Genomic DNA, 16,088 nt, shown 5'->3' on the forward strand with positions numbered 1-16,088 from the left:
TTCGGTGCACATCATTCTGACATCTGTTGCTTTTATTCTCTGCATTAATACGAGAATTTTAGAAAACACATTTCCAGTCATGGAATATTGTTTAGAGTAGGGTTTGGCAAATTTTTCCTGTAAAGGGACCGATAGTATATATTTCAGGTTTTGTAGGCCACAGTCTTCATTGCCAACTATTCAACTCTTCTATTATATGGGGAAAACAGCCACATGTAAATGCCTGGGCATGGTTGTGTTCTAATAGTTATTAACATACACTGAGATTTGAATTTCGTATCATTTTCATGTCACAATATAGTATATATATTTTGTTTACTTTTTTTCTCAACCACTCGAAAATGAAAAAAAAATCATTCTTAACTTGTAGGCTATACAAAATTAGGAGGCAGAGGCCAGTTTGCTGAACACTGGACTAGATGTTTGCAGGCCTGGGTTCTACCTAAAGCTCTCCCATTAACCAGGTGACCCTGGCCAAATCGCTTTGTCTCTCTGGGTTCCCGTTTTCCCCATCTGGACAATGAGGGGGCTATATGAGATGGTCTCTTAAGGCCCTTTGGCTCTCAAATACCAGAATTCTTGTAGTTTATCCAACAAATATTTATTGAGTATGTATGATGTACAGCCATTGTTTTAAATGCTGAGGGTATAGCAGTGATATACAGTTCCTGCTTACATGAAACTTACATTCCAATAAAAAGAGACAAAAAAAAATTTAGATATAATGTTGGTTAGCGGTAAGTGCTTTTGAGAAAATCGTGAGGAAAGGATTGGAGAGTGACAGGTTGTAATTTTAAGAGGGAGGCCGGGGACTGCCTCTTGATCATTAACATTTGAGCAGAGACATGAGTCAGGTGAGAGAGCGGGCTCTGCGGCTATCTGGAGAAAGAGCGTTCTAAGCTAAGGCAACAGCCAATGTAAATGCCTTGAAGTAGAAGCTCCCTTGTATTCAAAGAATAGCAAGAAGGCCAACGTGGCTGCAGTACACCGCACAAGGGGAGAACAGTAGGCTATAGGGTCAGACACGTAGTGAAGGACAGGTCATTAGGGCCTTACAGATCTTTCAATTTTTTCTAGGCTGTGATGGAAAGCCACAAAGAAGAGAATCACATTTTAAAATAATTTTTTTAAAAATTGCTTTGGCTACTGTGTGGAAAACGGACCCTAAAGAATCAATAGCAGAGGCAGGGAGATAATTAGGAAGGTATTGTAATAGTCCAGGGAAGAGATGATGGTGGCTTTAAGAAAAATGGTGGTAGTGTTGGAGGTGGTGAGATGGCTGGATTCAAGAGGCATTTGGAAGGTAGAGTTGACAGGATTTGTTGAAGAACTAGATAGGAGCTGGAGAGAAAAAGAGAAAACAGGGATAAGCATGCTGGGACTAAATCATATTTTAGGAACAAATGATTACATATAGGAAATGTTTGACATTTAATTTATAAGGCAAGAATTACTCCTGTTCTTTTATGTAGTAGTATAAAAGAATCACAGATATATTTGTTGATTCAGAAACTGTGCATATCTTAATAAACAAGAGACAGAGCTGCAGAATACCTGGTTTCATACAACTTGTGCAACTGATTTTTGACCTGTTTTGTTTTTGTTTTTTTTGAGACGGTGTCTCACTCTGTTGCCCAGGCTGGAGTGCAGTGGCACAATCTCGGCTCACTGGAACCTCTACCTCCTGGGTTCAAGCGATTCTTGTGCCTCAGCTGACATGCTTTGAAAAATCTTTCCTCATGTGATACTCCTCCCCAGTACTAAGATACCAATTATAGAAAATCAACTGGTTAGGATTACATTTTGCATTTGATAAAATAGGAATTGAGATGAAGAAAATAGTTCATACGTCTCTCCTCAGTATTTCCTTCAATTCTTCACTCTTGTATATAAATCAAAATTATAAGTGACATAATTTTAGCAAACCAAAATAACCAGTAAACCAAAGAATAATTTTACTTAAAGTACAGACAACCTCCTAACAAAGAGTTGACCAAGTTAACACCTGAAATTTAAAAACCTTTCATCAGACTGCTTTCAGCATATTTAGGATACATACATTTCTTCTTTTGAAATCTCTACCACGAGAGACTAAACACAGTACGATACTTGCAGAGATTTCCATTAACAACTTCTTTTCAAATAGTGACATTTGCAATGGAAACAGCTGGTCTCTATTCTCATCTCTAACAACAGAGGTAGGCAGGCATAAAGGGTAAAGAGAGTTGCCTCTCAGTTTGACTCTCTAGCCAGAACCCTCTGCAGAGAAGGCACTTAGAAGAAGCACCCCACGTGGACATGCTGGCCAGAGTCCTGAGTGGAAACAAGCCTGTCAGAGAACTGCAGTCTATGCCAGTAAGTGAACGAGAGAAGATATAACCACACGGACACCGTCTTACATTTATTCACACAGAGGGATAAGAATCAGTACAAATAATAAACAGTGCTTTAAATACAAATAAATAGCTCTGGTTTCTAAAGGAAACAACTCTATATATAATTCTAAGTTTTTTCTAAGTTCCTATTAAAAATAGAAGACTATTTTGCACTATGTAAGTTCTAGTCCACCATAATCCTTTGAAGACTTACGGATAAAATGGTGAATTCTATACTCCAAGAAGTCACCAGAAAAATGGGAGATAATGCTCCTACCTCTCTGAACTATCCCCCAAATAGGAGGAGAGTTACTTGCATCATAGACAGACACAGCTAATACATACAGAAAGTATTTGATGTCTAGAGATATTTAAAAAGATTAACCTTGGGAAAAGTAAAAAGAATTTCCTTAAACCAGTTTTATGAATTCTAAAACCTCCCTCTACTGAAGTTTTGATTCAAATGTCTTAAATTCATTTATACTCATGGGAAGATGTTAAGTTCCTATATTGAAAGCTTCCTCTTGCTAACAACGATAGTGATAAACATTCTGTCATCACCAAGAATGGCACCTGGAGTAACAAAGTGATACATACCTGGTAAAGGAGCAAAGGTGCTGCCCAATTAAACAGTATGTCAAACTTGGCATCAAAATGACCAAAATGTGCTGAAGAAACACATCCCTAAATCTGTTGGTTGACTTATCTTTCTCTATTGTTATATTCAGGATGCTTAGAGTGACAAACATATCTAGAGGCAAGTATGTTCTCCAAGTGAAGAATCATTTCCAAGGCATGCAGTCCTTTAAAACTACCTACCACACAGAGTCATTACAGTCTTGGTGCCACAGTGGCATCTGTTCCATTGACTTTCTGTGCCCACTGCATGTCCTCTCCTCGTCCTGCACAAGATAATGCAATCTCTTCCACTTAGACCGCTACACAATTATTAGAAAATTGTATGTTTGATAGTGACCAATATAGCAATGTTTAGGTTTTCAAAGAAATTTTGCTTTTTCTATTTAGACTGACCATGATATAATTCCAAACAGAACATTCTCATGCTATAAAAACAATCCCATGCAATAAATGTAATTTTAAAAGTCCCATGATAATAGCAACATTTGTTATTATAGAAGGCATGGTTATTTAGATTTGAAAAAAATGGTTGCTATAGAATAAAAGTTCAATTTCCAAATAGAACTTGTGTTGTGGTATAAAATGTTAAATTTGATTCTAGTTTTGTCAACACAAACAATTTTAAGATATACACCATGTTTTCCTAGTTGGGATTTTGAAACAATAAGCATAATTCTTAAACAGATTACTACAACATTTGTTCAAAGAATCAGCTCCTTTTTGCCAAGAACTTTCTCTTTTTCAGTCCAGTTGGAGGGATTGCCGTAGTAAATTCTGGAACAACAGTTCTGAACATGATTTAAAATCTGTCTCTCACTTCCCTCCCTGCCTTTTACTTTTTCTTTATGTTGTAAAAGACACACGAGCGTAGAAAAATGCTCAATTTTTTAATAGATGTTAATATTTTTAGTTTCCTGATTTAAATAATATTTTGTGTATTTGCCTTTTGCTCTGGCACACTATAGAATGTTTCTGGAGTTACAAATCCAAACCAACCAGCCAATTAGAGCATCCCAGGGTTCAAATCACAATTTGGGATACAACGCTATTTATTCTGGATGATGCTCAATTCCATACATAGTTTAGGGAAGAAACATCCATAAGAACATCCAAAAACATTATGTTACCAAATGCTAACATGTGATTGTGCTCCGTTGAATAGTACCATTCACATCTACAAAGTACACAGGCAGACGATTTTAGGTGTGGAGACCAATTTGCTTTTGCTGCTACAGTAATTCACAACCATCATCTTCGAGATTTCCATGCTGTTCTAGAATATGGAGTAGTCCTTTTTTTATCTGGTGGCTTAAAGTAGGAATAAACAGGCGCTGCTGGATACTCTGCATCAGGATTTTCCGCCATCATTTTCAGTTTTGCTTCAATGGCTTTTATCTTTGCAGTGACACTGGAAAAATAATAGCAGAGGATCAGAGTGGGCCTAGGTATATTCAGAAAATAGCTGTACAGTTCCTCTCCTTGAGCCTCTTGGGAATATTAGAGACGCAACAAGATACTAAATTACAGACATTTAAACATTTTATATAAAAGCCAGAAATAACTAATTCTCTCATTCTAAGAAACAGATCAAGTCTGAGCCATCTATTAAGTTTTTAACATAAGCCTGGACATTGTTGGGAGTACTTCATATAGTTCTACATTTAATCCTCAGACGCAGACACTGTTAGCACCTTAATGCTTGGCAGAGAGTAGGTACTAAAAATAATTCTTTTAGAATTGAAAACAACATTATAAGATAGGTTATATTCCTTATTTTGCAGATGATGTAACTGAGGCACAGAAAGGTTCATTTGCCCAATGTTACACAGCAAGTAAACGATAGAGCAGAGATTTGAATACAAACTGACTCAAAAGCCCAGGTTTCACCTGAATCACTGAATAAAAATGGAAAAAAAACATTCTGGAAATCCTATACAATCTCTTTTTACTGATGAATGCATGTTAATAAAAACTATCATTTACAAAGTGCTTACAATGAGCCAGGCACAGTGCATTTTACTTATACTGTTTTTTTTTTTTTAGACAGGGTCTTGTTCTGCCACCAAGGCTGTAATACAGTGGTGCCATCATAGCTTACTAAAACCTTGAACTCCTGAGCTCAAGCAACCCTACTGCCTCAGCCTCGTGAGTAGGTAGGGCTACAGGCACACACCACCACATCCATCTGAATTTGTTTTTGTTTTTGTTTTGAGATGGAGTCTCGCTGTGTCGTCAGGCTGGAGTGCAGTGGTGTGATTTCGGCTCACTGCAACCTCCGCCTCCCAGGTTCAAGCAATTCTCTTGCCTCAGCCTCCCAAGTAGCCGGGATTACAGGTAGCAAGCGCCACCACGCCCAGCTAATTTTTGTACTTTTAGTAGAGACAGGGTTTCACCATTTTGGCCAGAATGGTCTCAATCTCTTGACCTCGTGATCCGTCCGCCTTGACCTCCCAAAGTGCTGGGATTACAGGCGTGAGCTACCGCGCCCAGCCCCATCTGATTTTTTTAACTTTTTTTGTAGAGATGGAGTCTCACTATGTTGTCCAGGCTGGTCTTGAACTCCTGGCTTCAAGTAATCCTCCTGCCTCAGCCTCCCTAAATGCTGGGATTACAGGCATGAGCCACTGCACTCGACCTACTTATAATGTTTTTAATCCTTGCAATGGCTCTACATGGGTTATCATGCATGTTTTATAGATACAGAAACAAATGCAGAGGTGGTGATATGATCAAGGTTCACACAGTTAACAAACTGTAGTGAGGATTCAACTCATCACCAAAGCCCTCATTTTTTCTTCTCCATCAAGTTAAGAGCTGAATAGTCCTATATTGTACAGGAAGGGAGAGGAGATCTTAGAGAAGTTGCGAGGAATTTGCTTTTGATTGAGATCATTGCTATCCCTGGATCAGAATGCAGAGCACTCAGGGAGTAGGTATTTTTTGGCCTATGGCTACCTTCATTTTCCATTCTTGATGCGTTAATGGTCTATGGCCAGTGAGAGAAACTTGGAAGGAGTATATACATGGGCTTTTGGAGATCCTCGAAAGGTATACATGGGCGAGAAATTTAAAAACTAAGTTACAAGAAAAAGAACACTGATATATTACCGAGATGCATTCTGGCCCCTCTTCCATTAATGCCACAGCTGGTCACTGATTTTGTATAAGTCACAGGGAAGCAACCTTCTCTCATTAGGCATAGATGTTAATAGAGAGATGTAAGCTGAGGTCCTCTGGATAAAAAAATAGATGGAAAACCCTAGGCTATCTTGTAAACAAGTGGCATATACAAATCATAAGAAACTAAAGACATGTTCATTGTAACATGAAGACCACCAAGCATAAATGCAGTCATCTCTTTCAAATAGGAGTTAGTTAGATTTATGAAAACCTTCATGGAAATCAATCTGTGATCAAGGAGGTTCAAATCTTATGAGGAAAATAACACAGTGGATATATGCTCCCAGTGACTCTACAGAAGTCCCTTAATTCCCTAGAGCACGAAATAAAAAAAAAAAATCATATTAAACTTAAATGAATAACTATAGAATGAATTTAAATTTACCAATTTACCATTCCTGAAAACATTTCAGGAACACCTTCCCTTGGGTTTAATGAGATGCTTGTAAATCTGTTTTGTTTGGTGCAGATAATATACAAGAAAGGCATTTATTTCCCCTGCTTGGTACTCCACCCAAATAGGCATCACTTTCCTGACTTTAGAATTGTTGGTTTCTGATCCTTATGTATCACTGATGCTCCTTCACGTATTTTCTTCCCCTGCCCCGGAACAGGTTTTAGTCCTGCATTTACAGCCTGGGGCTTCTTTGAAGTAGTAACTACAAGACTGAATTTTGAGGTCTAATAGACCTGGCTTTAAATCCTGAGTGTTATTTGCCATCTGTGTGATCTCAGCCATAAGTAAATGACACACTGCAAATAAAGTGTTTAGCACAGTGCCTGCTTCAGCGTAAGCTCAATAAATCCTGGCTATTGTTATTGTTATTGCTAAAATGTCTCCCTAGGCTACAAGGCAAAACAAAACAAAACAAAAAACAAACAAACAAAAAACCCACCTTCTACTTCTGCTCAACCATCCACTTAACTTCCCCTTCCTCTACCCAACCCTTAGTTCTCCTGTTTTAAACTTCAAATAACTAACAATTTGTACAAACTAGAACCAAAACTGTTATGGCTGTTGCAATGGTACATAGAATCAAACATCTGCAAACTAAAATTTTGTATAAGGGAACTTAAGATTGGGGAAAAATTAGTATATAATGACAAATGCCAAAGAGACCCAAGGCCTTATTAAAATGCTTGTTTTTAGGGTAATGACTGACCTGTCTTTGTAATTTTAGTGCCAAGCACAAGGGTTGGTGTGTAGTAGCTACACCCAGTCTTTTTCGAGGGAATGATTCTGTAAATGGGGAGTATATGACCTTAGGTGGATGGAAGGAGAGGAAATGTATACATTCTGGAGACTAACTGAACATCTCTCTTGTCAAGTTAATAAATTCTAAGAGTCTGAAGACTCACTATTTTATGAACGAAGACATGGAATAATGAAATGGCTGAAGCTCCTGAATTACTGTGTCTTTCTATAGTACATCATCTTACCTTAGGTTAGACTGAGTAGGCTCAGTGCTTGAGGATGGCTCGAGACTGATTGGAAGAATCTTATCATTCTTGTTATGATCATATCTCTGAAAATGAGAAATAGAGAAATTACTTCACATGGGCAGAAACCAGCCCTTTACTGTAGTGGATGGGTTCAGAAACTAATACCATCAGTATATCATCAGCTTACTTCTAGACAATTTTAGGACCACTTTACACTTAGAATTAATGAAAAACTTCACATGGTTTTGGCCTAAAAGCTGTAAGTTTAGAAAAAGAAGCTTCCATCCAGCCATCAGTTCCTCCTTATTTGGTAGGAAAAAAATGTCAACTTTCAATATCTCAGATGGTACAAACACACAGGAGGGTGGCCTTCTTATATTCTTAACTGTCACATATCACCTCTTACAATATTTATTTTATTAAAAATACTTTAAACTGGCCAGGCGCGGTGGCTCACGCCTGTAATCCCAGCACTTTGGGAGGCCAAGGTGGGCAGATTGCTTGAGCTCAGGAGTTTGAGACTAGGCTGGGAAACATGGCAAAAACCCTGTCTCTATTTAAAAAAAAAAAACAAAAAACAAAAATTACCCGGGCATGCTGGCACATGCCTGTAGTCCCAACTACTTAGGAGGCTGAGGTAAGAGGATTGCTTGAGCCTGGGAGGCAGAGGTTGCAGTGAGCCAAGATCTTGCCACTGCACTCCAGCCTGGGTGACACAGCCAGACCCTATCTCAAAAAACAAAAAACCTTTAAATTTTGCAAAGTACCAACCAAGCATAATATTCAACTCTTAACAGGCCTGAGTGAAGAATAAAAGTTGTAACAGCTTTCAGTTGTTGATACAGAAAACATTCTACAGTAAAGTAGTAGTTTAATTTGATGCCAGATAATTACATACTTTTTTATTCTTTTAAAATTTTATTAGAAAAAATAAAGACAGGGTCTTACTATGTTGCATAGGCTGGTCTTGAACTCCTGGGCTGAAGCGATCCTCCTGCCTCAGCCTCCCAAAGTGCTGGGATTACAGGCATGAGCCACCATGCCTAGCCAGATAATTACATACTTCTTGTAAAAAGCAAATATAATATTGAAGAGCAATCAAGAGCCTCTGGTCAAAAAAGATTTATAGGAGAAGAGAACCGTGAGGCACAGAGATTTTCAAATGAAAGACAGGAATGGAGGATGATTTCTCTTGCGTGCCTTTTCAATGAGATGCAGAACGAGAAAACGAGTTTGGTAAATGAGACTTGATTTTCCCTTGAGTAAAAAAGCATTTGGTAATTCTCCTTGTTGTTTCTATTTTTAAGGCAATGTGTCCTAGAAATTGAGAAGGCTCTGTGATTACCTGAAATACTCAGAAGGATCTAAAGTATCTGAACTTAGTTTTTCAGCTTGGACATTGAGCTTAAATGTCTTGTTTAGTCTCTGTGACTCTTTACTGGGAAGTTTGTTGGGGAGTGGGGTAGAGAGCCTCTGATCAAAAACCATGCTTAGAGCTAAAGATTTCAGCTCCAACTCAAAACTGTCACAAATCTTTGTGCAGGCAGGTTTTTCAAGTCCCCACTGCAGAAGGAGGCAGATCAACTCTTGGGAACGCTCCAGTCAACACACTTTACCACCTCTGTGCCAGCTGGAACAGAATGCCATTTGTTTTGTTTTTTTTAATGGCTGAAGCTTTTCTAGCGCATTCTCCCAGGAGACTAATTACAGAATGAACAGGGCAGCCTGCTACTTCTCAGGACTTAGACACAATACAGACACTGCAAAGTCCCACGAACCCACACCCTAGTAACTCCCAAGATTTCTGGAGTAAGGAGATGCCAGTGCTTTAAGCACTCACAGAAACTACCCATGTCTCAAGCGTTTAGAATAAACAAATTCAAATCTCCACAGAGTCAAAGGCTGGGAAGAGTCTAATAATGCCTAGAGCAACTGATTTTAAAAATAAATATATATTTTCCTCCAAAGAACCCTCCACCCGAAGAAATGACAGAGGTCTGAGCGTACACATTAGCCACATGAGAAAATCAAAACCAGGATCAGTGGGCATGTGGAGAGAAATAACCAAGGAACTTAATCCCTCCCGAGATGTTTTCAAAAGAAAAATCGGGCAACACACATGGTAGATACAAGTAGGAGACTGAAGTATGGCTGTTTCAGGTGTGAAGAGATTGGGACATAAACGGGTAAGTGGACAACCATCTTTCAGAAGGCTTGTTTAGGATGAGGCTTGATGTCTTTCTAGCCTCTCAGACGTACCTTTACTTGAGCATGTGCCCATCGCACCACCAGCTTCTTGGACAGGGCCAACTTGCCATTGAGACACTGGATGGCTTGCTCTGCTTCCTGTCCAGGAAAGGGACAAATGTTAGTTAAAAACTGAAATGCTTAACTAGCTATATGTATTCTCACAGGGCTTCACTAGCTTTGATGGCTGAGTTTCTAACAAATTGTTTTTGGTAAATAACTGGCAAGGGTTTACAATTTTACAAGGCAGAATTTTAAAAAGGGCATGGTTTTTTTGTTGTTTTTTTTTTTTTTTTGAGATGGAGTCTTGCTCTGTCGCCAGGCTCTGGAGTGCAGTGGTGCAATACCGGCTCACTGCAATCTCCGCCTCCCAGGTTCAAGCGCTTCCCCTGCCTCAGCCTCCCGAATAGCTGGGACTACAGGCATGAACCACCACGCCTGGCTAATTTTTTTGTATTTTTTAGTAGAGACGGGGTTTCACCATGTTGGCCAGGACTGTCTCAATCTCCCAACTTAATGATCCGCCCCCTCGGCTTCCCAAAGTGCTGGGATTACAGGCGTGAGCTACTGCGCCTGGCTAAGGGCGTGAATTTTTTAAAGTCAGACAAAAATTCAAATCCTGGTCTGCCATTTGCTGGCAGTATGCTATTTGGCAGGTCACTTAAGTGTCTCTAGCTTTGTCAACTGTAAAATACAGATAAATAATGTATAATCTTTAATAGATAATATGGATACTTATTCCTCAGTGGTTGTGAGGACTCAAAGAATGTAAAGCATGAAGTATATGATATGCACTTAACATATGTTAGTAATAGTGCTGTTCCTATTAGGTGATAGACATATATGCACTTCCGTTAGGTAGGGTAGCACCTCCTATGTCAAGAAACTGTACTCCCCGCAAGGGCCCTGGAACCATATCCTGGACTAGGGCATACTCCCTGGATTCATAGTGAGGAATAATTGCTTTAAAGGGCATGGGAGTCAAGGAAACTAGGCCGGAAAAAGCAGGAGTGAGTCAAAGAGACCGTTAGCAAGGTATCTGTGTGAGTCAATCTATGCACCTGGTTTTCAGAGCCGAAAGTTCCTTGACCCTTTCCCCATCAGACAGAGGAGTAATACGGTTGAAAGGAATTCCTGAAGCTGGCTAACAGTCACTCTAGGTCATTCCCAGGAAACCTGGCTGTACTTTCCATCCTGCCAAACCTTCTTTGCCCCATTTGCATCCATGAGGCATTCAGCCAAGTGTAACCCATGTTTAGTGAGGGTGAAGAAGCCCTTAAGGAACAGAGGAGGAACAGGATGTCCCAGGGAGCGGGAGAGGCTATAGAAGCCAGTTGGCATTCCAGTCTGGTTTTACTGGTGATTCTCTTGTTCCTCCAGAACCTACCAGTATGACATTTAACAAATATTTACTGAGTTCTCACTGTGTAGTAGGCATTGGATATTCACTAATCATCCTTGCCCCACTACAGCACACAAAGCTAGAGTGACAGGTAAGAAATATTTTATTCCTTTAAGCTTCATTTGGTGAATGAGAACTCATAGAGCACTCTATTAGTTCCAAAGTAGGAGCAGTAATAAGCTGCCAGCAGGGGCATCTTATTTTTAAATGTTTTTTTTAAAATAATTTCCTACCTGTACAAATTATTTCAAAGTTCATATATTTAAAAATATTATTAAATGTCTACTTTTTTTTTATACTTTCATCTATTCTCCCAACTTCCCATAAGGTAAGAAGGATATGTATTTTTAATCTCCATTCTTAGATGGAAAATTGAGGCCAAAAGAAGTTAGGAGACTTGCTCAAAGTTAATAAATAAAAGAGCCAGAAATATAAACTAGGCTTTGTATCCTAACCCAGTGTTTTTAAACCAACATCTATGCCCAACATGATCACTGATTTTAGTTGTCTGCAACAATTCCCAGGCCGGGCATGGTGGCTCACGCCTGTAATTTCAGCACTTTGGGAGGCCGAAGCAGGCTGGTTGCTTGAGCCCAGGAGTTTGATCAGCCTGACAACATGGCGAACCCCCGCTTCTACAAAAAATACAAAAATTAGCTGGGGTAGTGGTGTGTGCCTGTGGTCCCAACTACTTGGGAGGCTGAGGTGGGAGAACTGCTTGAATCCAGGAAGTTGAGGCTGCACTAAGCTGTGATCGTGCCACTATACTCCGGCCTGGATGACAAAGAGAGACCCTGTCTCAAAAAAAAAAACAACAACAAAAAGAATTCTCACCACACTTCATTTTATCATTAAGAAAGAATAAAATATTTAAAAATGCTGACCAGGTGTGGTGGCTCACACCTGGAATCCCAGCACTCTGGGAGGCAGAGAAGGGCAGTTGGCTTGAGCCCAGGAGTTTGAGGCCAGCCTGGGCAACATGGTGAAATGCCATCTCTACAAAACATGCAAAAATTAGCCAGGCATGCTGGCATGTGCCTGTAGTCCCAGCTACTGCAGAGGCTGAGGTGGGAGGATCACTTGAACCCAGAGGTCAAGGGTGCAGTGGGTCATGATTGTGTCACTGCACTCCAGCCTGGGTAACAGAGCAAGACCTTATTTAAAAAAAAAAAAGAATGCTAATTCTATATTCTATATTGCATTATTTCACTTCCCTCAAAATACTTGAACAATTAGAGTAACAATGTATTATTTATTGGCTATCATATGTACAAAAATTAGAGGAAATAAAAAATACCCAGCACTGGCAAGGAGAAATGACACTACCATACAATCTCAGAACATACTGATATATCATTTCTTGAAGACAATCTGGCAGTTTTATTAAGAAAAACTATGCATGGACTTTGATGATGCCATTCCATCTCCCCAAATGTGGCAGATATACATAATTAGAGCTGTAAAAATACTCACTCTTGTGATATTTATACTAGTGAATCAACCCAAATACCAGTGAAACAACCCAAATAGCTAACAATTGGGGACTAGTCAAATATGATATATTCACATTATGTAGTCATCAAAAATGATTAGTTTTTAAATGCAGTCTAAGTCACATACAATAAAATGCCCAAATCTCAAATACAGATTAATGATTTTACTCCCCTCCACACACGTACATACAAACACCAGTGAAACCACAATATCAAGATACAGAATGTCACCCTGATGTGATTAAATGGTAGAAAAATTTTAGTATACTTTGAATGATAAACATGATAATATGATTCCATTTGTGTGTTACAACACTGTGTAACGTGTTTATGTGTGTGTGAATGTGAAGAAACAAAAAGACTGGAAAGATATATGACTAAGTGTTAACAGTGATTATTTCTGGGTATTAGGCCAAGTGATTTACATTTTCTTTCTCAGTTATCTATATTTTCATCTATAATATTCACACATTAATTTTATAATAAAAAAACACTCATACAAATTATTATTATTATTATTACTATTATTATTATTATGAGATGGAGTCTTGCTTTGTCGCCCAGGCTGGATGGAGTATAGTGGTGTGATCATAGCTTGCTGCAGCCTTGAATTCCTGGGCTCAAGTGATCCTCTTGCCTCAGCCTCCCAAGTAGCTAGGACTATAGGTGCACCATCACACATAATTAAAAAAATTTTTTTTAGAGACAGGGTCTCACTATGTTGCCCAGGCTGGTCTCAAACAATCTCCCCATCTCAGCCTCCAGGGTAGTTGTGATTACAGGTGTGAGCCAGGCCTAAATTATTAATATAACGTTAACTATGCAATGTTCTTACATATGATGAATAAATTTATAAGTACTATGCGGCATCTCTACATTTAGTAACAATCAAATTCAATTTCTTTATCAATGCACTTCCACTTCAAGGACTAAATTTTAATACAAGGAGATCCATGTATATATCATGGTTGAAGGTGAATGCGCTCTTCTACATACATTAAAATTTATATGCATTTGTTCTGAGACCTTGAGAAGAAATAACAAAAGAGTCTTTGTGGGTGTCTCATCACAGATAGGTTTCTGTACCACAGGACAAAACTACTGAAAGAAAAGAAGGCTTTGTCAGTTGGCCAGCCAGTAAAGCAACAAACAAAAGAGAATAGGGAGGGGGATGTACATGTGCTCGATGTGGGCATCCCAGTGCATTTGGTCAAAAATGTAGGTGAGTCAGTTGCCTTAAACTTTGGCCAAGGGACAGTGAATTGTGAAAGCCACTAATTCATTTGTTTATTGAGGATCCCTTATAGGACTCAGTGTAAGGCACACAGATGAATCAGACATGGCTCCTGCCTACAGGGAACTGCTATTCTAGTAGGCAAGAGACATGCACAAATAATTATGACAGAGCTTGATAAATATTATAAAATGGGGAGAAAGCTTAATTACCTGCTTAGTTTCAAAGTTAACAAAACAGTAGCCTCGAGGCTGTCCCTCCAAAGCACCTGACTTGTGGAAGAGGAAGTCAAACTGCTTTACCTTGCCAAACTTCTGGAGGAGCTTGAGGAGGTGGTATCTGTGGAGAAAGAAGAGTCCATGAGTATGCTCTGGGAATTCTGTTGGCCACTCAGCCTGAAGTGTGAGATAAAAGCAGGAGATAATTTACCCCAGGGATGAAATCTCTCGCCCCAGCCCCCTGCCTTCCTCTAAACTGCTATGTTAGTTTATTTGGCAAACAGAGTTGTTTGCCTCTATTTGGTATGGGAACTAGAATTGTCATGGCTATGCATCTGTCCAACACAAAAATACCAAACAAAAAAACCACACCTTACAAACAGCTGTCTGGCCTACAAGCACTATTTGTTTTTCTTTTGGAGAAAAGCTCAAAAATAGTGTTGATTTATTTATTTTTAATTCCTTGGCAATGAAATGGCATTTGTGAATAACTATAACTCCATCAGAAACACACACCCATTCTCCAAAAGACAAAGCCTATCCTATCTCAAAAATAAAGTAACAAACATATATGCATTCATGCAAACAAACAAACAAACAAACAGTCCTGGAAGATCTTCCTATTAGATTTTGTAGTTAATTCTTAGACCCAAATTGCACTTGTGAGAAACTCTGCCATTAATCAAACCACAGCTAGTGATACTTCCACAGCACTTGAGAGTTTCAATGACTGATGTGACTGAACATGAGGACAATGTGGAACAACTATGTGACTGAGGCCGGTTTCACAAAGGGCAGGGGAACCTGGCCAGTCCTATAAATCACCCAGCTATGGGTAACTAACCAACCTCAGTTGCCTTAAAACAGTTTATACTCTAGGGTACGGTCAAGTAAAGAATACAGATGGTCAAGGGAGAAATTTATTCCTGGCAGGATGTTCACTCCAAGCTATTGCTTACCACTACTCTGCCCTTCATCCTCTATTAAATTTCTTACTCCAAAACTTACTTGGTTTCTACAGAGCTTTTAAGTTATTCAAACAGATGTGGCCTTAACAGGTTGCTGCGGCCAATCTCAATTCCGACTTCCTGTCATCTGATGTGGGGGTGAGACAAACCAACAGCTCTCCCGTTTCCTTTCCCTTTGGCCTTCCTCCTGGCATCCTCCGTGCTATTCAAATGGAGTCAAGGCTTTCTCTAAACAATGCTGTCCCTGTGATACTAAAAAGGTATCAGCCCACATGCTAAATCTGTTATTACTGGGAATTCTACCCCACAGGGAGTCAGTAAAGTTGTCGTTATAGCCACATTTATATTCACATTGTTTTCTAAGAGAAACTCATCAAAATTTTATTCTTGAGCAAGAATTTCCTTTGGGAGGCAGAAAGATATGAAATGGACCATACACTATACTAAATTTGATACTAATGCACATCAACAAGCAAGTCCAATATCCTGGATCAAGTGTCTGACACAGTGGAACAAGAAAGACATAATACAGGTTTAGTACTGGGACAAATGCAAGGATCCCAAGGCATATTGTGGATATTAATCTGGTCTATTTTGAAAGGTAAAACCACCATGATCCCCTACTTTCTAACTTCCCAACTCCCATCAGGACACCTCAACCACTAGAGAGAATGTAGGAAGTGACTTCAGGGGAAACGAAGACACCTTAAGTGCAAATGTGTGGTTTTACTTGACTTTTTGAACAGGCTTACAGCAAGGGTGAGTCTCTCACACACAAAGATGGGCGAGAAGAGTCTCCCCCAGGGTCTTTAATTCACAGCTGTATCTTCAAATTACTAAGCCTATTCAAATCTTAACACCGTGCCAGTTGCCACAGAATGGGGAGTCA

The 16,088-nt window shown here is 39.3% G+C and overlaps 1 protein-coding gene across 3 annotated transcripts in view; it reads right to left on the reverse strand.

Annotated features, from left to right (window-relative positions):
- Positions 1–16,088, reverse strand: part of RBM18 (RNA binding motif protein 18) — a 27,219-nt gene continuing 11,131 nt past the window's right edge. For 2 of the 3 annotated variants that reach the window (NR_027126.2, NM_033117.4), the window contains 4 exons: positions 14,226–14,352; positions 9,897–9,983; positions 7,635–7,720; positions 1–4,422 (listed from right to left, as the gene is read on the reverse strand). Coding sequence is in view for 1 of the 3 variants with exons in the window: in NM_033117.4 (NP_149108.1) it covers positions 4,263–4,422; positions 7,635–7,720; positions 9,897–9,983; positions 14,226–14,352 (460 nt within the window). In the remaining 2 variants the exon portion in view is untranslated. Of the gene's footprint in view, positions 4,423–6,122; positions 6,248–7,634; positions 7,721–9,896; positions 9,984–14,225; positions 14,353–16,088 lie in introns of all 3 variants that reach the window. The other variant, NR_027125.2, reaches the window with a different exon arrangement.

Source organism: Homo sapiens, chromosome 9, assembly GCF_000001405.40.
Source record: "Homo sapiens chromosome 9, GRCh38.p14 Primary Assembly".
In the NCBI taxonomy this organism is placed as follows: domain Eukaryota; kingdom Metazoa; phylum Chordata; class Mammalia; order Primates; family Hominidae; genus Homo; species Homo sapiens.